The sequence below is a fragment of the Homo sapiens genome, chromosome 21 (assembly GCF_000001405.40).
Source record: "Homo sapiens chromosome 21, GRCh38.p14 Primary Assembly".
Classification (NCBI taxonomy): Eukaryota; Metazoa; Chordata; class Mammalia; order Primates; family Hominidae; genus Homo; species Homo sapiens.
In genome coordinates, this window is record NC_000021.9 from 14,167,029 (window position 1) to 14,191,549 (window position 24,521).

At 36.6% G+C, this 24,521-nt stretch overlaps 1 protein-coding gene across 8 annotated transcripts in view; it reads right to left on the bottom strand.

Moving 5' to 3' along the window:
• Positions 1–24,521, bottom strand: part of LIPI (lipase I) — a 102,144-nt gene that overhangs the window by 58,217 nt on the left and 19,406 nt on the right. For 7 of the 8 annotated variants that reach the window (NM_198996.4, NM_001302999.2, NM_001379565.1 and 4 more), the window contains exons 2-4: positions 22,006–22,391; positions 18,933–19,041; positions 14,730–14,831 (exon numbers count right to left, since the gene is read on the bottom strand). In NM_198996.4, coding sequence (NP_945347.3) covers positions 14,730–14,831; positions 18,933–19,041; positions 22,006–22,302 — 508 coding nt within the window. In that variant the 5' untranslated portion in view covers positions 22,303–22,391. The remainder of the gene's footprint in view (positions 1–14,729; positions 14,832–18,932; positions 19,042–22,005; positions 22,392–24,521) is intronic. The other variant, NM_001379566.1, reaches the window with a different exon arrangement.

The window sequence follows — 24,521 nt, forward strand, 5'->3', positions numbered from 1 at the left end:
GGGCTTAAAAAACGGCCCACCAGGAGATTATATCCCACACATGGCTCGGAGGGTCCTACGCCCACGGAGTCTCACTGATGGCTAGCACAGCAGTCTGAGATCAAACTGCAAGGCGGCAGCAAGGCTGGGGGAGGGGTGCCTGCCATTGCCCAGGCTTGCTTAGGTAAACAAAGCAGCTGGGAAGCTTGAACTGGGTGGAGCCCACCACAGCTCAAGGAGGCCTGCCTGCCTCTGTAGGCTCCACCTCTAGGGGCAGGGCACAGACAAACAAAAAGACAGCAGTAACCTCTGCAGACTTAAATGTCTCTGTCTGACAGCTTTGAAGAGAGCTGTGGTTCTCCCAGCACGCAGCTGGAGATCTGAGAACGGGCAGACTGTCTCCTCAAGTGGGTCCCTGACCCCCGACCTCCAAGCAGACTAACTGGGAGGCACCCCCCAGTAGGGGCAGACAGACACCTCACACAGCCGGGTACTCCTCTGAGACAAAACTTCCAGAGGAATGATCAGACAGCAGCATTCGCAGTTCACGAAAATCCACTGTTCTGCAGCCACCACGGCTGATACCCAGGCAAACAGAGTCTGGAGTGGACCTCTAGCAAACTCCAACAGACCTGCAGCTGAGGGTCCTGTCTGTTAGAAGGAAAACTAACAAACAGAAAGGACATCCACACCAAAAACCCATCTGTACATCACCATCATCAAAGACCAAAAGTAGATGAAACCACAAAAATGGGGAAAAAACAGAGCAGAAAAACTGGAAACTCTAAAAAGCAGAGTGCCTCTCCTCCTCCAAAGGAATGCAGTTCCTCACCAACAATGGAACAAAGCTGGCTGGAGAATGACTTTGACAAGCTGAGAGAAGAAGGCTTCAGATGATCAAATTACTCCGAACTACGGGAGGACATTCAAACCAAACGCAAAGAAGTTGAAAACTTTGAAAAAAATTTAGACGAATGTATAACTAGAATAAGCCATACAGGGAAGTGCTTAAAGGAGCTAATGGAGCTGAAAGCCAAGGCTCGAGAACTATGTGAAGAATGCAGAAGACTCAGGGGCCGATGCGATCAACTGGAAGAAAGGGTATCAGTGATGGAAGATGAAATGAATGAATGAAGCAAGAAGGGAAGTTTAGAGAAAAAAGAATAAAAAGAAATGAACAAAGCCTCCAAGAAATATGGGACTATGTGAAAAGACCAAATCTACATCTGATTGGTGTACCTGAAAGTGACAGGGAGAATGGAACCAAGTTGGAAAACACTCTGCAAGATATTATCCAGGAGGACTTCCCCAATCTAGCGAGGAAGGCCAACATTCAGATTCAGGAAATACAGAGAACTCCACAAAGATACTCCTCGAGAAGAGCAACTCCAAGACACACAATTGTCAGATTCACCAAAGTTGAAATGAAGGAAAAAATGTTAAGGGCAGCCAGAGAGAAAGGTCGGGTTACCCACAAAGGGAAGCCCATCAGACTAACAGCGGATCTCTCGGCAGAAACTCTACAAGCCAGGAGAGAGTGGGGGCCGATATTCAACATTCTGAAAGGAAAGAATTGTCAACCCAGAATTTCATATCCAGCCAAACTAAGCTTCATAAGTGAAGGAGAAATAAAATACTTTACAGACAAGCAAATGCTGAGAGATTTTTGTCACCACCAGGCCTGCCCTAAAAGAGCTCCTGAAGGAAGCACTAAACATGGAAAGGAAAAACCGGTACCAGCCACTGCAAAATCATGCCAAATTGTAAAGACCACTGAGGCTAGGAAGAAACTGCATCAACTAACAAGCAAAATAACCAGCTAACATAATGACAGGATCAAATTCACACATAACAATATTAACTTTAAATGTAAATGGACTAAATGCTCCAATTAAAAGACACAGACTGGCAAATTGGATAAAGAGTCAAGACCCATCAGTGTGCTGTATTCAGGAAACCCATCTCAAGTGCAGAGACACACATAGGCTCAAAATAAAAGGATGGAGGAAGATCTACCAAGCAAATGGAAAACAAAAAAAGGCAGGGGTTGCAATCCTAGTCTGTGATGAAATAGACTTTAAACCAACAAAGATCAAAAGAGACAAAGAAGGCCATTACATAATGGTAAAGGGATCAATTCAACAAGAAGAGCTAACTATCCTAAATGTATATGCACCCAATACAGGAGCATCCAGATTCATAAAGCAAGTCCTGAGTGACCTACAAAGAGACTTAGACTCCCACACATTAATAATGGGAGACTTTAACACCTCACTGTCAACATTAGACAGATCAACGAGACAGAAAGTTAACAAGGATACCCAGGAATTGAACTCAGCTCTGCACCAAGTGGACCTAATAGACATCTACAGAACTCTCCACCCCAAATCAACAGAATATACATTTTATTCAGCACCACACCACACCTATTCCAAAATTGACCACATAGTTGGAAGTAAAGCTCTCCTCAGCAAATGTAAAAGAACAGAAATTATAACAAACTGTCTCTCAGACCACAGTGCAATCAAACTAGAACTCAGGATTAAGAAACTCACTCAAAACCGTTCAACTACATGGAAACTGAACAATCTGCTCCTGAATGACTACTGGGTACATAACGAAATGAAGGCAGAAATAAAGATGTTGTTTGAAACCAATGAGAACAAAGACACAACATACCAGAATCCCTGGGACACATTCAAAGCAGTGTGTAGAGGGAAATTTGTAGCACTAAATGCCCACAAGAGAAAGCAGGAAAGATCCAAAATTGACACCCTAACATCACAATTAAAAGAACTAGAAAAGCAAGAGCAAACACATTCATAAGCTAGCAGAAGGCAAGAAATAACTAAAATCAGAGCAGAACTGAAGGAAATAGAGACACAAAAAACCCTTCAAAAAATTAATGAATCCAGGAGCTGGTTTTTTGAAAGGATCAACAAAATTGATAGACCGCTAGCAAGACTAATAAAGAAGAAAAGAGAGAAGAATCAAATAGATGCAATAAAAAATGAAAAAGGGGATATCACCACCCATCCCACAGAAATACAAACTACCATCAGAGAATACTACAAACACCTCGACGCAAATAAACTAGAAAATCTAGAAGAAATGGATAAATTCCTCAACACATACACCCTCTGAAGACTAAACCAGGAAGAAGTTGAATCTCTGAATAAACCAGTAACAGGCTCTGAAGTTGTGGCAATAATCAATAGCTTACCAACCAAAAAGAGTCCAGGACCAGATGGATTCACAGCCGAATTCTACCAGAAGTACAAGGAGGAACCGGTACCATTCCTTCTGAAACTATTCCAATCAATAGAAAAAGAGGGAATCCTCCCTAACTCATTTTATGAGGCCAGCATCATCCTGATACCAAAGCCTGGCAGAGACACAACAAAAAAAGAGAATTTTAGACCAATATCCTTGATGAACATTGATGCAAAAATCCTCAATAAAATACTGGCAAACCGAATCCAGCAGCACATCAAGAAGCTTATCCACCATGATCAAGTGGGCTTCATCCCTGGCATGCAAGGCTGGTTCAATATACGCAAATCAATAAATGTAATCCAGCATAGAAACAGAACCAAAGACAAAAACCACATGATTATCTCAACAGATGCAGAAAAGTTTTTTGACAAAATTCAACAACCCTTCATGCTAAAAACTCTCAATAAATTAGGTATTGATGGGATGTATCTCAAAATAATAACAGCTATCTATGACAAACCCACAGCCAATATCATGCTGAATGGGCAAAAACTGGAAGCATTCCCTTTGAAAACTGGCACAAGACAGGGGTGCCCTCTCTCACCACTCCTATTCAACATAGTGTTGGAAGTTCTGGCCAGGGCAATTAGGCAGGAGAAGGAAATAAAGGGTATTCAATTAGGAAAAGAGAAAGTCAAATTGTACCTGTTTGCAGATGACATGATTGTATATCTAGAAAACCCCATTTTCTCAGCCCAAAATCTCCTTAAGCTGATAAGCAACTTCAGCAAAGTCTCAGGATACAAAATCAATGTGCAAAAATCACAAGCATTCTTATACACCAATAACAGACAAACAGAGAGCCAAATCATGAGTGAACTCCCATTCACAATTGCTTCAAAGAGAATAAAATACCTAGGAATCCAACTTACAAGGGATGTGATTGACCTCTTCAAGAAGAACTACAAACCACTGCTCAATGAAATAAAAGAGGATACAAACAAATGGAAGAACATTCCATGCTCATGGGTAGGAAGAATCAATATCGTGAAAATGGCCATACTGCCCAAGGTAATTTATAGATTCAATGCCATCCCCATCAAGCTACCAATGACTTTCTTCACAGAATTGGAAAAAACTACTTTAAAGTTCATATGGAACCAAAAAAGAGCCCGCATCGCCAAGTCAATCCTAAGCCAAAAGAACAAAGTTGGAGGCATCACGCTACCTGACTTCAAACTATACTACAAGGCTACAGTAACCAAAACAGCATGGTACTGGTACCAAAACAGAGATATAGATCAATGGAACAGAACAGAGCTCTCAGAAACAATGCCGCATATCTACAACTATCTGATCTTTGACAAACCTGAGAAAAACAAGAAATGGGGAAAGGATTCCCTATTTAATAAATGGTGCTGGGAAAACTGGCTAGCCATATGTAGAAAGCTGAAACTGGATCCCTTCCTTACACCTTATACAAAAATTAATTCAAGACGGATTAAAGACTTAAACATTAGACCTAAAACCATAAAAACCCTAGAAGAAAACCTAGGCAATACCATTCAGGACATAGGCATGGGCAAGGACTTCATGTCTAAAACACCAAAAGCAATGGCAACAAAAGCCAAAATTGAGAAATGGGATCTAATTAAACTAAAGAGCTTCTGCACAGCAAAAGAAACTACCATCAGAGTGAACAGGCAACCTACAAAATGGGAGAAAATTTTCACAACCTACTCATCTGACAAAGGGCTAATATCCAGAATCTACAATGAACTCAAACAAATTTACAAGAAAAAAACAAACAACCCCATCAAAAAATGGGTGAAGGACATGAACCAACACTTCTCAAAAGAAGACACCTATGCAGCCAAAAAACACATGAAAAAATGCTCACCATCACTGGCCATCAGAGAAATGCAAATCAAAACCACAATGAGATACCATCTCACACCAGTTAGAATGGCAATCATTAAAAAGTCAGGAAACAACAGGTGCTGGAGAGGATGTGGAGAAATAGGAACACTTTTACACTGTTGGTGGAACTGTAAACTAGTTCAACCATTGTGGAAGTCAGTGTGGCGATTCCTCAGGGATCTAGAACTAGAAATAGCATTTGACCCAGCAATCCCATTACTGGGTATATACCCAAAGGACTATAAATCATGCTGCTTAAAGACACATGCACACGTATGTTTATTGCAGCACTATTCACAATAGCAAAGACTTGGAACCAACCCAAATGTCCAACAATGATAGACTGGATTAAGAAAATGTGGCACATATACACCATGGAATACTATGCAGCCATAAAAAATGATGAGTTCATGTCCTTTGTAGGGACATGGATGAAATTGGAAATCATCATTCTCGGTAAACTATCGCAAGAACAAAAAACCAAACACCGCATATTCTCACTCATAGGTGGGAATTGAACAATGAGAACACATGGACACAAGAAGGGGAACATCACACTCTGGGGACTGTTGTGGGGTGGGGGAAGGGGGGAGGGATAGCACTAGGAGATATACCTAATGCTAAATGACGAGTTAATGGGTGCAGCACACCAGCATGGCACATGTATACATATGTAACTAACCTGCACATTGTGCACATGTACCCTAAAACTTAAAGTATAATAATAATAAAATAAAATAAAAAGAAAAAAGAATAGAGCAAAATTCCTTGCAGTCGAAAATACTTTATAGTGGAAGGAAACCATAATAAACAAGTAAATACAGAGTATGTGAAATAATAATAAGTGCTATGGAGAACAGTTAAGTAGAACAAGAGGACAGGAAGGGTCTAGTGAGGGTGGTAGTTGCATGTTTAAGTTATTTGGTTTAGGAATTTGCCACTTGAAGAAGTTGGAGTGGAGCACAAATGTGAAGGATGTGAGGCGGTGACCCCAGTGGATATTTGTGCGAATACGCTCGGCGAAGAAGCCAGCGTGGCTGAAGTCTAATGTGTAAGAGGGAGCTTCGGAGCAAAGGAAGCCAAGTCCTACAGATCCTTTTCGATCAGTGTGATGATTTGCTTTCACTTTTGGTCATAATTTCTAAGACCTGCTGGTGCTGGATTCACTAACTGGAAAAAAATCTAACAACTAAGTTGCCTTGGCTGGAGCAGTTTGAGTCAGAGTGACATGAAACACATAGCTTTGATTCAAGGGTTTATGTAGCCCTGTAGATCATTGGACCACTGGTGAATGTACAGATTCTGAGCCCATTACCGGCATATAACTCAGAGAAGCCTTAACAGTGAAAAGGGCTAGCAAGCTCAGAATACTCAGGACTGTGATTTGATACAAAATTGTGTTGCTAAATAAGATAACAATGCTTTAATCTGGGGCACAAAAGATTTCCTACAACACAGTGAACTCATGAAAGACATCAGTAATAGATTTAGCATAAAACAAAGATAAATAGATGGTTCTGACAGTAAGGGTTTAGATGCTGCAACCTGACTTAGTTCTAGGATGTAACAGAACCTCTAATGAGTTGTTAGTAGCACATGAGAACACTGGGCATGTACACTGAGGCTGGAGGGAGGGGAGAAGAGCACTATTTAATGGGTAAGGAAAGACAAAGGACAATGTAGATGACTTCATGACAGGTCCCTAGAATTCAGGAAAGCTTGATTGGGACAATGGTGACTTGATTGGGACAATGGTGAGGGTATGCTAGCCAGTCTGTCTTAAAATCCCATCATCTTCTTAGCCTGTGAAATTCACGCAAGGAAGGGCATGCTTCCTAAATAAGACCAAAAAGTTTTTAAAACAAGAAAAAAATTTAACAGGGTCAGAGATTTGTGAAATTTCCTCATATATGAACTCGACATGGAGTTCCAAGACTAGGGGTTTCCAGTTTGGAACTGTCATTTTCTCCAACCTGCCACTGAAGGAGACTCAAACCAACAGGACTGCTTAGGAATCAGGAGGGATAAAAGAAATTTGTCATTAACTTTGAAGCAGCCCTTGATTCAGGCATGTCATTTCCCTTTTATCAGATTGGGTGGGGGGCAGCTTGGTCTGCTTAGATCATTCATTCTCTTGGTTTCAAGAAGGGTGGGGAGAGCAGCTATGACTTTTTAATTTTCCTTTTATTGTAAAATATAAGACACATGCAGAAAAAGAACATTAAACATAAATCTATAGGCTAATTAATTATTATAAAGCAAACAGCCATGGGGCTACCACACTAATGTAAAGAAATAGCACCTGGGAGCTCCCAGTGTGCCCTTACCCAGCCACAAGTGTCTCTCTGTCCCCTAATCGCTAACCCATCATTTTTTTTTAAATAAAATCATCTGTTGTTTATTTTATTTTATTTTATTTTATTTTTTAGAAATGGAGTCTGGCTCTGTCGCCCAGGCTGGAGTGCAATGGCATGATCTCCGCTCACTGTGATCTCTGCCTACCGGGTTTAAGCAATTCTCCTGCCTCAGCCTCCCAAGTAGCTGGGACTAAAGGTGCATGCCACCATGCCCAGCTAATTTTTGGTATTTTTAGCAGAGATGGGCTTTCACCATGCCAGCCAGGCTGGTCTCGAACTCCTGACCTCGTGATCCCCCGCCTCGGCCTCCCAAAGTGCTTGGATTACAGGCGTGAGCCACCGCACCCGGCCTGTTTTCATTCTTTATCTTCTAAGGATGACTCCCAAAACCCTATAGTTTAGATTTCACCTTTGTGAAAAAATATATGAACTTACTCATATTTTATGTAGGCTTTTGTTTCTGGCTTTTTAGATTATTAGTATGTTTGTGCTATCAATCCACATTGTCAGGTGTAAAAACAGTCATTTATTGTCATATAGTATTTCATTGTATGAACATATCACAACTTATTTTTCCATTCTCCTATTGTGGTGCATTTGTATTGTTTCCTATTTGAGGCTAATGTGTTCAAACTATGAACATTTTGAACACATATATTAATGCATATGTGAAGGTACATCTGTTGGTTACATACCTAGGAGTGGAATTGTTATAGATTATGAGTATCTTTGATTTTAATAAATAATGCTGAATAGTTGTAGCGTATCTTTGCCAATAAATGGTCTTGTCAAGCTTTTGAATTTTAAGCATGTGGCTTCTTGTTTGGGTTTTAATTTATATTTTTTTCTTACTAACTTTAAAAACTTTTTATATGTTTATTGCCTATTCAGAATGTATCCTTCATAATGTCCTGACTTTTTCTTAACTAGGTTGTCTTTGTCTTTATTACTGACTGATAGTAGGTCTTTATCTCTTTTACTGCTTTTTTTTATGGCTTGCTCTTCACATTCTTAAAGTATTTATAACAGTCTCAATTTTTATATAATCTGACATTTTAATCTTTTCATTTGGGTTAGAAATTTTTGTGTACTTTGGGAAAATATTATTCATTATCCCAGTGTTATGAAGGCTTTAAAAATAATAGCTCATAAACCATTTATTTTCCTTTCACATGTATGCATACCACAAGGAAATAATTTTTGTGTTTTATATGAGTTCAAGGTTTTTTTCATCTTCAGAATCCAGTTGACTGAAACAGAACCAGGTAATTACTGATACTAGCTGTGTCTTCTCTTTTTGTTCTGTTTTTTCTCTCCAAGAATTTATTTTTAGAAGAGATGTATGAAGTTCAAGCATTCTATGTTCCTTTCATTGTATGGAAAGAAGGCACAAGTGGGCCGGGCGCGGTGGCTCAAGTCTGTAATCCCAGCACTTTGGGAGGCCGAGGCGGGCGGATCACAAGGTCAGGAGATCCAGACCGTCCTGGCTAACACGGTGAAACCCCGTCTCTACTAAAAATACAAAAAATTAGCCGGGCCTGGTGGTGGGCGCCTGTGGTCCCAGCTACTCGGGAGGCTGAGGCAGGAGAATGGCGTGAACCCGGGAGTTGGAGCTTGCAGTGAGCTGAGATCGCGCCACTGCACTCCAGCCTGGGCGACAGTGAGACTCCGTCTCAAAAAAAAAAAAAAAAGAAGGCAAAAGTGATATAAATAAATTTTAAAATAATAATTAATTTTTATCTTTTCTAAAGTGCAAAATTTGGCTTTTTAAATCATCTGCAATTCATAATTTTTATTCCATTAATTTCTTTGGTATGTTTAATATTTGCTTCTTTCTCCATTTCTGTGTGTTTCTATCGTTTAATTCTTAATTTTTCAAAATAGATGCTTAGATTATTGATTTTCAGCCTTTTAAAACAGCTGTACTCAAAACTATACATTAACTTCTAGCCATGGCCTTTGCTGAATCCAAAAAGGTTTAATATGCAATAATGTGAATATTCAATTCAAAATATTTGATTATATTATTTATTATTGTATTCATTAGTTATTTTTAAATGTGATTTTTCACTTTCAAAAATGTATGGATTTTAGTTATATTTTTGTTATTTATTTGGATTAAGTGCATTAAAGATAGAAAAGATTATGATTTCTACACTTTGAAATGTTTGAGAATATTGTTTTTTTTTCAGATACAAACATTTTTATTTGCTTTCAATTCTTTTTTTTTTTGGTTACATTTCGCTAATAATGCCCTCATAGCTCTGATTATATTTATTTATTTATTCTTTTATTATTATTATTATACTTTAAGTTCTATGGTACATGTGCACTACGTGCAGGTTTGTTACATATGTATACATGTGCCATGTTAGTGTGCTGCACCCGTTAACGCCTCATTTACATTAGGTATATCGAAATGTTTGAGAATATTTTTAAGGCTCAGTATATGCTTAACTTAGCTAAAATATCCATTTGTGTTTCAGAAGACTGTAAATTCTGCAGTTCTCAGGTGTAATGTTCTATAAATGTCTATTAGATCAATTGTGTTAATTAAAATTATTCACTATGATTGTGTAGTTGCCTTTTTTTGCAATGTGTTATTGTTAATACTGCATTATGTATTTGAAGCTGTGTTATTAGGTACATACAAACTACAATTGTTATATCTTCTTTGTGAGTTCAAAGTTTTATTATTTTAAAGTTTGTCCATATTTTTATTAGTTTATATAAAATCAATTTTGTCTAATATAGATTTACCACCATTTGGAGGATAATATTTGCATATTTTTTATCACCCTTCTACTTTCAAATATTTTGCTTCCTTGCTTTTATATATGTCTTTAATAAATAAGAGTTGGATTTTTTCTTTTTAATCAAGTTTGACAGCCATAATATTTTAATTAGAGCATAAGTCCATTTATCTTAATTGTATAGTTGTGTTTGATTTTACTATCTTATTATCTACCTTCTATTTGCTTTAGCTGTTGTATGCATTCTTTCTCTCTTTTCTTGCCTTCTTTTAGACTTCATAAAAAGTATATTCAATTTTTGTCCTTCATTTTCTTGCTTCTTTTCTTGCTAGATACCCTAAAGATTCAACATGAATACTATACTTATGAATATCAATTACTGAAGGTCATTTTCACCTTCTTTCTATACAATGAAAGGAACACAGAAAGCTGGAAATTCATTTATCACCCAAAATCATATGCTATTTTTAGCTTATTTTAATTTTCTATATTTCAAGTCCATAAAACATTATTAATAGTATTTTATGCCATCAACATATGCTTAGATTTAACTAGTTCATTGTTCTTCCTTCCAAAATAGCCACAATCTAAGAATAATTTTCCTTCCACCTGAAGAATACATTTCTGCTCATGAATGTCTGAAGGGTAACCTTTCTGCTCATGACAGTTTCTCTCCAGTTTAAATTTGTCTGAAATAAAATACATTTATTCTTGAAACAGATTGAGATACTATCTTAGCAGTTGTTTCCTTTCACCATATGGAAGCAATCATTCTGTTGTTTCCTATATTCCATTGTTTCTGTTGAGAACTCAATTGTAACTCTGGTCAATTTTATTCACCTTATTTAAATAAACTTGTATGGTTTGATGATGGCCTTTTCTGCAATTCACTATCATACATCTCAATGGAGATTAATCTTTATTATTTTTCTTATTGAATGGAATTAATTGGGCATTTTGAACTTGTAGACTGATTATATTACTCAGTTTGGGAAAATTATGAGATAATATCTCTTTAAATATAGTCTTTGTTCCATTTTTCTGCCTTTTTATTCCAGAATTCTAACACAATGTAATTTACCATGTCATTGCCTATCCTATGCATCTCTTAACTGTTGGTCTATATTGTCTATTCTTTGGTACCCATTTGCTTCAGTCTAGAAATTTACTTTTCACCTACTTTTTAGTTCACTCGCTCACTCTCTCTTTACCTATTTCTAATTTTCTGTTAAACCCATTCAATGGATGTCAATTATTTTACTTTTTAGGGTAAGAACTTTCATTATTTTTGTCAAATATAATTGATAAATTTATACTTACTAATTTTTTGTTAAATTTTTCAGTCTTCTACCTTTTTGAAAATATTAATAGCAAAAACCACAATTACTTTTGCACCAACTTAATAATAAGCACATTTTTTATAGCCAGTGTATAATAATTCCAATATCTGGAGGCCTATGGGTGTTGTCTATTGACTGTTGTTTCTGCTGTTTCTCATTCACGCTGTCTTGCTCCAAGTGTGCCTGGCTATCTTGGATGCTAAACATTTATTTTAATATGTTTTTGTAAAAATAATTTGAGATTGAATTATGTGAATTTCCTACAAAGAAGGCTATTGTTTGCTTCTGTCAGATAACTAGGAGTTCTAACAATTCAGAATCTACTTAAACAAAAAACTCAGTAAACGTGATTTTGGCAGAGGCAACTCAGATAACGAGAAGCTTTCTGCAGACCATAAGAAGGCTGATTTGTTCAGCTTTACCCATGCTTCTATAATGTCCTTTGGAGTTCCAGACAAGAATAACAGATGAGATGTTTTGCAAACCCAATATGAGGGTTTCAAAAGCATCTATCTTTTGGATATTGGACTCATAATTTTCCCCAATATCTCAGCAAAAATGTATGCCCTAATTATCTAATCCACAAATTTGAAAGGCCACATGGCTTTCTGAACACTCACAACTGAATAAAAATGAGGATTACTGGCAAGTAGAAGATGTGGTCATTATCTAGTATTCAAGGAAAAGGCAGTTCACCAGGTATGTGCTGAGTCCACGCATATCATTCAGAAATTTCTCGGACAGGTACATATGCAGCATCAAAAAATCTGTGTTTCTTATTTGTGATAGTCATGAAAAGATCAATCCAATGTTCCAACTATGTGGCCTCTAGTGGCAGATTAGATCTGATAGGTTGCATCATCAAAAGATGTTGCAAATATAAGACAATCCAAGACAGTTCATTAGGATAAGTCAAAAATGCAAACAAAAATAATAAAAAGTATGAAGAGCTAAGTCAAAAGGCCATAGGCAGAATTGAAGTTAGTGTTGCAGGAAGTCAGGGACCCCAAATAGAGGGACCGGCTGGAGCCGCAGCAGAGGAACATAAATTGTGAAGATTTCCTGGACATTTATCAGTTCCCAAATAATACTTTTATAACTTCTTATGCCTGTCTTTACTTTAATCCCTTAATCCTGTTATCTTCATAAGCTGAGGATATATGTCACCTCAGGACCACTGTGATAATTGTGTTAACCATACACATTGATTGTAAAACATATGCGTTTGAACAATATGAAATCAGTGCACCTTGAAAAAGAACAGAATAACAGCGGCTTTTAGGGAACAAGGGAAGACAACCATAAGGTCTGACTGCCTGTGGGGTCGGGCAAAAAGAGCCATATTTTTCTTCTTGCAGAGAGCGTATAAACGGACGTGCAAGCAGGAAAGATATCGCTAAATTCTTTTCCTAGCGAGGAATATTAATATTAATACCCTGGGAAATGAATGCATTCCTGGGAGGAGATCTATAAATGGCCGCTCTGGGAATGTCTGTCTTATGTGGTTGAGATAAAGACTGAGATATGCCCTGGTCTCCTGCAGTACCCTCAGGCTTCCTAGGGTGGGGAAAAGCTCCGCCCTGGTAACTTGTGGTTGGACCAGTTCTCTGCTCTTGAACCCTGTTTTTTGTTGTTTAAGATGTTTATCAAGACAATACATGCACTGCTGAACATAGAACCTTATCAATATTTCTGCTTTTTGCCCTTTGAAGCATGTGATCTTTGTACCTACTCCCTGTTCTTACACCCCCTTCCCTTTTTAAAACCCTTAATAAAAACTTGCTGGTCTGAGACTCAAGCGGGCATTGTGGTCCTACTGATATGTGATGTCACCCCTGGTGGACCAGCTGTAAAATTCCTCTCTTTGTACTGTCTCTCTTTATTTCTCAGCTGGCCGACACTTATGGAAAATAGAAAGAACCTACATTGAAATATCGGGGGTGGGTTCCCCCAATAAGTTAGAGTTTCAGAAAAAATTCAGACAAGGGACTACACATTAATTGGCCAATAGATGTGTTTTATGTGGATGTGCCAAGCTGATATAAAGAGTTAGAGATAATAAGACATGAGAGGTTTGGATAACACTAAACTATGACTTCTTTGGTTTTGACTGCTTATAGAAGTAGGTGAACCTAGATTCCAAAAAGGAGCAGAATTGTTACCAGTGGAGTCTCAGTCTATTGACATGTAGTCATGGTGGTTGAAAAATTGCATCTATGGCATTTACGTATCTCACACACAGACACATAAACCCAAGTATAGATCACCACAAGATAAATTCAGAGGAGCAATCTTAGTGTCACTGCCCTTGTCTCTATCTTACCACCATATCCTCTCCTGATTCGGTTTATAAGAATAATATACTGGTTAAGTGCATCATCTGGAATCAAAACATATGATTTCAAATTCTGACTCTGCCATTTACTGACCTTACAACCTTTATTCTAGTTTCCTCAACTGTAAAGGGAATGACAGTTGTTATCTATCTAACGGAAATTTAGTAGAATTCACTAATTAATTCATACAAGCACTCAAAACACTGCCTAATGTATAGGAAGTGCTCAGTAAATATTAGTATCAACAAATTCAAATCAGGAAAGGCACGAGGACAGTCTGTTTCTTAAAAGTGTCTGTTCAATTGTACTCTGGCCAAAAATCCAATACCCTGTTAGAGATTTTCAGCTAAGATAATTAAAAACAATAGAAAGATTATTTCCTTACATTTAAGGAAGACTATTCTTTATTTGTGGCTGAAATGCTGTGTTCAGTTCTAGTCGATATATATCATAGCAAGAAAATAAGCGGGGAGAATGGTAACCTAAATACATCAGGAACATTAAACATGGGGGAAAATGTGATCAAATCAATAAAATTGTCAACAGCATGAACAGAATGAACTCTTAGTTATCTATTTCAGTGTTTTAGGATGACATGACACATCTTGAAACCCGAAGGAGGCAAACTGAAGTCAAAGAGTGCCATTTGACAATGCAGGAAATCACTAACCCTAAGAAATATTGCTTGGGAAATATTATCATTCTATAATTACAGATTTAAAATCATTTTATCCATGATGTTTTTTCTTCTTATGCCCTCCTCTTGCCCAAGGTCTACATTTTCCTTTTCATTTTCAAATAATTAGGTAATAAATCCTGATTTGTTACCATTGGAGTCAGAATGGATGACATCCACAAACTTTGCATCCGTGTAATCTAATCTGCTATATGGTGGTTTTCTGGAGAACCTTGGCCCAGCAGGGTCAAGACCTGGAAAGCAAGAAAGAAATAATCAGTCTCATCAAGTCCACAGAGCTCCTTACATTGCATACTTCCATTATTACTGCATTATAAACATAAAAAGCATTTATACTTTTAGTTTAAACCTATCCAAGAACATATCTAAAAACAAATGGAAGTGAATGAATAGCAGGTAACTTCAGTATTTGAATAATACTACTAACCTTCAGAGCTTTTCAGGTTAAGCCGCAACAAAATATTGTCGGAATTTTTGGAGTATTTTTCTGTGAGACTGAATTAGGAGTAATAAAGTAGTTTATATTTAATAATAACTACAACTATTTCTCCTGAAGGAAAAAAATAATGAATACCATCTGGTCCTCTCTTGAACTCTGTACATTACTAGCTCACTTTGGATTTATCTGTAGATAGACCTGAAAAGCTTTTTTAGGTGCCAAATATAATTTGGGCTATGGGATAAATCATGTTATCTTATCCATTTCTCGTAAGACTTTCTCACACACTCTTAAGAAAAGAAAAAATATATTTTAAATTCCATGGAGTGTGAATATTATTTCTGGGTTATCTTAATTTCTAAATAAAAATGCTAGGCTCATGACTTTCTGGGAATTGTCAAAAAGAGGAGAGAGAAGATAAAATTCAGTTTTTTGAGAACATCTATACAATGAAGAAACAATCATCTTAAAAAGATATTTGAAAGTAAAATATAGCACCAATAACAGACAAACAGAGAGCCAAATCATGAGTGAACTCCCATTCACAATTGCTTCAAAGAGAATAAAATACCTAGGAATCCAACTTACAAGGGATGTGAAGGACCTCTTCAAGGAGAACTACAAACCACTGCTCAATGAAATAAAAGAGGATACAAACAAATGGCATTCACAGTTGCTTCAAAGAGAATAAAATACCTAGGAATCCAACTTACAAGGGATGTGAAGGACCTCTTCAAGGAGAACTACAAACCACTGCTCAATGAAATAAAAGAGGATACAAACAAATGGAAGAACATTCCATGCTCATGGGTAGGAAGAATCAATATATTGTGAAAAGGTAATTTATAGATTCAATGCCATCCCCATCAAGCTACCAATGACTTTCTTCACAGAATTCGAAAAAACTACTTTAAAGTTCATATGGAACCAAAAAAGAGCCCGCATCGCCAAGTCAATCCTAAGCCAAAAGAACAAAGCTGGAGGCATCATGCTACCTGACTTCAAACTATGCTACAAGGCTACAGTAACCAAAACAGCATGGTACTGGTACCAAAACAGAGAAATAGACCAATGGAACAGAACAGAGCCCTCAGAAATAATGCTGCATATCTACAACTATCTGATCTTTGACAAACCTGAGAAAAACAAGAAATGGGGAAAGGATTCCCTATTTAATAAATGGTGCTGGGAAAACTGGCTAGCCATATGTAGAAAGCTGAAACTGGATCCCTTCCTTACACCTTATACAAAAATTAATTCAAGATGGATTAAAGACTTACATGTTAGTCTTAAAGCGATAAAAACCCTAGAAGAAAACTTAGGCAATACCATTCAGGACATAGGCATGGGCAAGGACTTCATGTCTAAATCACCAAAAGCAATGGCAACAAAAGCCAAAATTGAGAAATGGGATCTAATTAAACTAAAGAGCTTCTGCACAGCAAAAGAAACTACCATCAGAGTGAACAGGCAACCTATAGAATGGGAGAAAATTTTTGCAATCTACTCATCTGACAAAGGGCTAATATCCAAAATCTACAATGAACTCAAACAAATTTACAAGAAAAAAACGAACAACCCCATCAAAAAGTGGGTGAAGGATATGAGCAGACACTTCTCAAAAGAAGACACCTATGCAGCCAAAAAACACATGAAAAAATGCTCATCATCACTGGCCATCAGAGAAATGCAAATCAAAACCACAATGAGATACCATCTCACACCAGTTAGAATGGCGATCATTAAAAAGTCAGGAAACAATAGGTGCTGGAGAGGATGTGGAGAAATAGGAATACTTTTACACTGTTGGTGGGACTGTAAACTAGTTCAACCACTGTGGAAGTCAGTGTGGCGATTCCTCAGGGATCTAGAACTAGAAATACCATTTGACCCAGCAATCCCATTACTGGGTATATACGCAAAGGATTATAAATCATGCTGCTATAAAGACACATGCACATGTATGTTTATAGCGGCACTATTCACAATAGCAAAGACTTGGAACCAACCTAAATGTCCAACAACGATAGACCGGATTAAGAAAATGTGGCACATACACAGCATGGAATACTATGCAGCCATAAAAAAGGATGAGTTCATGTCCTTTGTAGGGACATGAATGAAACTGGAAACCATCATTCTCAGCAAACTATCGCAAGGACAAAAAACCAAACACCGCATGTTCTCACTCATAGGTGGGAATTGAACAGTGAGAACACATGGACACAGGAAGGGGAACATCACACACTGGGGACTGTTGTGGGGTGGGGGAAGTGGGGAGGGATAGCATTAGGCGATATACCTAATGCTAAATGATGAGTTAATGGGTGCAGCACACCAACATGGCACATGTATACATATGTAACAAACCTGCACGTTGTGCACATGTACCCTAAAACTTAAAGTATAATAATAATAAAATTTAAAAAAAATTTAAATAAAACTGAAAAATTCCTAGAAAAAAAGTAAAATATAATGTTTTTCATTTCAAAAACCTCTATTATCCCCATTTTATTTAACCCACTTGACTGAATGAGACAGAATCATCTATCTTCCTATAAATCATTCTGATATAGAACCTCCATGTTTGGTGGCCTTTTAGTACCTGATGATTGCCTGGTATTTGGGCCATTCAAGCTAGACTAATATGTGTAAACACAATTTAAAGTACAAATTGAGCAAGTGTGGTTTTGGAAAGAGAATGAGCTTTAAGCACTAGGGAACTTTGTATAAGTAAATCCTGGCTAAACTGCTATTTCTTGACCCTCCTACATTCATTCAGTTAATTTGTTTTCACACATATTTGATAACATTAAAACTAATCAGAGTAAGTAAGGGTATGCATAAGGTTTGTAAAGATAACTATCTATATGTTATTCACCTCTTTCCCCCTTTTTTGAAACTTAACTAAGGACACTATTTTCTTTTATCAACACTTAAAGTTATTATAAGTCTTCTATGGCCATAGATATGAATAATTGCTTTTTTTTCAAAACAAAAAAGGTAAATTGGTTGAAAGGAATATTATCCTCCTATTCCTAAAGTCACTACCACTCATAGAGGAAAGAATGAAAATCCATATCAGCCTTATTAGATGACTGAGCTTCCTGGATGCAGTAACTTTGTTATAGAAATATGAAGGGGGACCCAGAGTCCCTCAAATTGGATGCAACTCCTGATTCTTTTGTAGCATTCAAGTAAAAATTTTTAGAGAGTTGAAATGCATCAAAGTTTGTGATAACTAAGTAAATAGTTATATTCTTAGCTAATACATAAAGTATTTTTCTTTAATGAGTCATATTTACTTCTGTATTCTTACGATAGTATGTCCTTAAAATTTAGCTGGGACTGCAGGAATAGATGTTTTTCTCCCATTTCCATTTGGGTAACTTAAGCTCTGTTGAGAACTTAACAAAACTTTAGAGTCTAACTAAAACAAAGCCAATATTTAAATATAACATAGAAAAAATAAATGTTTGTACATAATTTCTATTGAGTAATTATTGTACCCACTAAATTTTAAGCAAAGTGGCTGGCCACAGTGGCTCATGCCTGTAATCCAAGTACTTTGGAAGGCCGAGGCAGGCAGATTACTTGAGGTCAGGAGTTAGAGACCAGTCTGGCCAACATGGTGAAACCCTGTCTCTACTTAAAAAAAACAAAAATTAGCCGGTGTGGTAGTGAGTGGGCACCTGTAATCCCAGCTACTCAGGAGGCTGAGGCAGGAGAATCACTTAAGCCCACGAAGCAGAGGTTGCAGTGAGCCGAGATCGCACCACTGCACTGCAGCCTGGGCAACAGAGCGAGACTCTGTCTCAAAAAAAAAAAAATTAGCAAAGTAACTTCTGATACTTAAAAGTATGCTAAAGCAATAATTTTATAAAAATAATTTTACCTGTTATTCTTCCAAGTTGACCATGAAATATCTTTCCAACAAATCCACTGATATGAGCCCCTAAGCTCACACCTATGAAATGAAAATTGTCAAGAGATGCACCATGCTTCTGCAATTAAAGAGAAAGGCAATATTACAGTATTCATTTCAAGTAATAACAAATCATGCCCCCCTCATATATCGACATTTCAAAATTCATTATTTTTCTGGCTTGATTCATTTTGGGGATATCGGGAAAGAGACTTTATAATTTCAAGATGACTATATATTTGTTCAACTTTTGCCACAAAATATTTGATTTTTCTTTATTCATTTTTAATATCAATTTATTTTAAAATTGTATCATCTCATGCAGAACAGTATGCAAAATGCAATTAATTAGCAGAGTGTTTTATAATAATCAACATTACTAGGTGCTTACTTTCTGCTAGCTACCTCGATATGGGCCTTACAAAGTTCATATTTAATACTTCCAATTTCGTTATGAGTTATTCATTTTTATTCTAATGCCTAAAACTGTCAGTAGCACCTATTAAATGCTAAATAAATAATATTGGATCAATTCCAATTTTATTAAGGAAACTGCCAGAAGTAACAACTTTCCCAAAGCCACATAGATTCATAAGAGGAAAAGATGGATTCCAAGCTGCTGTGGTCTGAATGTTTGTGTCTCCCTAAAATTCATATGTTGGAATTCTAATCCCCAAGGTGATGATATTTGGAGGTGAGGCCTTCTTGTGGGTTAGGAGAATTATGTCATGAGTGTGGAACCCTCATGAAAGGGATTACTGCCCAGATAGAAGAGACCTGAGGGATCTCCTTCTACTCTTCCACCATGTGAGGACACAGTGAAAAGGCATAATCTATGAACCAGGAATTGGGCCCTCACCAGACACTGAATCTGCTGATGCCTTCTCCTTGGACTTCTCAGACCCTGAAACTATGAGAAATAAATGTTTCTTGTTTATAAGCTACCTAGCCTATGGTATTTTGTTACAGCAGCCCAAATGGACTAAAACACAAACCTAGGTCTCACTCCAAAATTATGCTAATTTGCCTTCTTGTTTTATCTGATCAGGTTGTGTCAAAAACCTTAGGAAGATTCACAAAAGTTCAATAATGATTCTCACTTCAGAGATGATGAAATTAATTTTATGGATTTTAGGTGACTTCCTTCCCCTGATCACCAGCTCAGGAGTGATGCATCCAATCTTCCAAGGCCAACGTCTGAATACCTCTTAGTCTCAGCTCCAGGAAGGGAAATTAGAAGACTACATGAGAGTGTACTTCCACCACACTCTTGGGGAGCTATTGTGAGACTTGTGGACAGATCATGGTCCAGCCCACACAGTGATATGTCTGATGGCTTACAGAAAGATGTGGAGCGCTTGCCACTAATGAAAAACTACCCTCAGGCTTTCAAGGCACAAGGTTATGATTTTCTTCAGATTTCTCACAGCCATGCCCCAAAACATAAGGGAGTATCTCTCGAGACTCCAGTGCTGCCGGTCATTTAAATCTTCCTCTGTAATATGAAGCCTCTGTAAGCAAAGGCACTGTTAGAATTTTATCTAATATTACAAATTTTCCTAAATATTTCTATTTAATATTCACATTCTCCACACTTTGAGGCACATATTTATTAGTTGAGAAAACACCAGTAACATCAGGAAAAATCAATGATGTAATTAATAGTCTGTTGGTGGAGATGGTTGAATCAATTACCTCCTCTGTCTCTCTACAGCAATGGTATTGTTTTGTCCAAATTTGGGGGTGTAAAAATAATAATGAAAGTTGATCTTAATGATTACTAAATGTCACCCACTGATTAAGCACATATATATTAATTCAATATTCATATAAATATTTTTGTAACATGTTGTTATTCTATATGTACAAATAAGGAAATGCAGCACAGAGAGGCTATGTAATTGTTCAAAATTACACAGATGATAAAAGATGGACATACAGTTTGAACCCATCCAGTCTGACCCCTGGCCACTACATATAACGGCTTCTTGGAAGTGTTGTTATTTGTTCAATTTTTAGCAGAGTCTTGAAAGTTCAGCACAACACAACTCAAGTTTAAATTTCAAGCTCAATAATGCCCCCGAATCAGATATCACCCTTCTTTCTCTCAAGTACCCACAACTACCTACTTTCTTTTAGGATAGACATGGATCTCCCTAAGGGTTGACTTAATAAACAAAAATCATTCACAGTGCAGATAACATAGAACTGGACTGAATTTTATTTGATCCATTCAAATCCTGAGCAGACTTGAATGAATCTGATGTTCACCTCCAAAGCTGACAGAAGTATGCTACTTTTCAAAATGATTTTTTGCCTGTAATCCCAGCACTTTGGGAGGCCAAGGTGGGCAGATCACCTGAGGTCAGGAGTTCGAGACCAGCCTGGCCAACATGGTGAAACCTCGTCTCTACTAAAAATACAAAAATTAGCTGGGCATTGTGGTGGGCACCAGTAATCCCAGCTACTCGGGTGGCTGATGCAGGAGTATCACTTGACCCTGGGAGGTGCAGGCTGCAGTGAGCCAAGATCGTGCCACTGTACTCCAGCTTGGGCAACAGAGTGAGAACCTGTCTCAAAAAAAAAAAAAAAAAAAAAAAGATTTTTCTTTACTTTTACCAATTCACACTCGATTATATGCAAATATTTTAGCCGTATATTTTAAAAGATACCTGAAGATTGTAATAATTATAAAGTTTATTTCCCCCACCCACATAGGATAACTATTTTATTCTGAGGTTGGTATAGGTAGAGTTAAAAGAAATCTCAGAAGATTTTTAAATAAAACCTAATAATTACTAAATTTTAATATAATGTTTTAAAAATAACACAGGATATGTCTAGGTATAGAATTATTCATTTAGGCAGACAAAGAAAAGATGGCTGCATACATTGGTATATCAAACCAGTAATTGTTAATGCTTATGGGGAAAAGTATATAGTTTATTATCACTTTGTGGTATTGAATGTAACACACTGCATATTGTATAGCACGTATAATATATTGTATAGCATGTATAATACATAAAATTCCCAGACTTACCAAAAGATTTTTAATGTGCACACTCAAACTCACAGCAACTTTTCTGGTGTTTTTAACTGCTCTATTATAAATAAAAGTTGTAGCACCCCGGCTCCAGTCTACTACAATTACATTCATATCTTCTTCATTCAGCAAAATCCTTACGAAGTTCTGAAGCCATAATGGGATGGAGCCTACTGGTCTGTATCCGTGAATAAGCCAGACTGTTTTCTTTTGTGTGTTGAAATTAACATTAAGTGAGTTATTTTGTTCAAACAGTGGCTCAGCACAGTTTAGGTTGTTCCTTGTATACATCATCAGAATGGTCTCTATTCTCGGAATAAATAAATCTCTGAAGGAATCCTTTACACTTAGCTGAGAGAATTCAAGGCATGGTCTTTTATTATCTGAAATAAGAAAATGTCAGTCAAGCTGAGTACTGGGATAGTATTTTATTCCTGTTGCTATTGCAAAGAACAGAATTAAATGTGGAGGGTAGGGAGGATTTCATTTCATGAGCCCTTCAACATAATTTACTGAGCAACTGCAATGTTGAAGGTAATGTATTAATTATGTAAAAAGATTTTCTGAACCAAAAGTAATGGAAAATATAAATGTGATTGGTTAAAAAATTAAGAAGAGATTTTTATCTGTACAAAATATAATAGTAATGGGTGTGAGCGAAAATAAGATTGTTAATAAAGTGCAATGGGTACTAATCAAAGTTGATACATTGATTATAAACTTTAACAAAAGTTTTACAGAGTAGTCCTTGTACAATAAGCATTAGCATAAAATATATTTAACTTGTCTAGTCATCAATACAAAACAATAAAGTAATATTTTCCCCATAAAATTTAAAATGTTTCAAAAAATTAAATAATAAATATTAATATAACATGAATGTTGAGATCATAAGTTGATACAACATTCCTTTGAAATTTTGCATGTGTGTGCTTACTGTACACATAAACTTAACAAATCTTTTTCTTAATTTTCTTTCTAGGACTTACAAACCATTTGTAATAAGTGTAAAGACTTTAACCGCTGGGTTATGTATAATGGGACAAAAATGTAAAACATCTTAAATCTCATCCTTATAGTATTTTCATCCATGTGTGCATTCTATAACTATTAACTATCTATCTATATATTGCTCTATATACTTATCTATCTACCCTAGAAAGAACTAGGGCAGAAAATAAATAACTAAACCAGATGAATAGCAATAGTCATTGCTAGACAATGAAATGATGACTGCCTTTTGTTTTCTTTTTCACAGATTTTTGTGATTCTATTTTTTTCATAATAAGCAAATAATCCCCATAGTGGTTTTTTTTCCAGATGATAGTATATGTTCATACTGCTTCTAGCACTTTAATTTGATAATAATATTCAGGAAATAATTTTTCAATCCATACCAAAAATTAACAAAAGTATTAATGCACTTTATGCCAGTAATTCCACTTTAAAGAATCTATCCCAGAAAAACATAGCAAAACAAGAGGTAACGTATTATTTTAATACTGAGATAATATGCATTTCTTACAATAATTCTAGTTTTCAAGTATATACACAATATTGTCACAATTGATTAGATGAAGAGAAATAAGGAAGGCAATGAAGGAGAAGCAAGACTTGCATTCCATTCCTATATTAACAGCTGAGAGATATTTGGAAAAATTATTTCATTTGTTGTAAATATCAGAGAATGAGGAAGAGAAATATATTGAAACACAATACAATATGAATGCATGCTACACCGTGCAAATTGTGTGGGAAATCTATACATCCACCTTCTCACCACCTGGAATTCTGACAAGAATTTAATACATATCAATACCAATCAATACATCCAAAGTGCTGGTCCACTCCAAGCTAAAGTCAATTTTACCTGGCCCTAGAATAAGTAATGAGGAATAAACCAGTAGGATCCTGGTGATAAATACAAGAGAAAGAAATCATCACCTAATATAATCAACAAATATATCTATTATCTATTAAAAGATATAAAATATTTTTCATTAGAATGCAAGAAAAAATACATCTCAAAAACTGGAGCAGGAGTAAAAAATACAAAAATTAGCCAGACATGGTGGTGCATGCCTGTAATCCCAGCTACTCAGGAGGCCGAGGCGGGCGGATCACGAGGTCAGGAGATCGAGACCATCCCGGCTAAAACGGTGAAACCCCGTCTCTACTAAAACTACAAAAAATAGCCGGGCGTAGTGGCGGGCGCCTGTAGTCCTAGCTACTTGGGAGGCTGAGGCAGGAGAATGGCGGGAACCCGGGAGGCGGAGCTTGCAGTGAGCCGAGATCCCGCCACTGCACTCCAGCCTGGGCGACAGAGCAAGACTCCGTCTCAAAAAAAAAAAAAAAAAGAAAATGGAAATATATAAAGTAGAAAGAATGAAACAAAATGATGAAATTACACTAGAGAAAAGAATATATATGATATGTGAGCAGTTCTGTACCCTGCCTATTAAAAAGCAAAAAATAAAAATAAACTTTTTTTAAAAAGTAACAAGATATTTAAA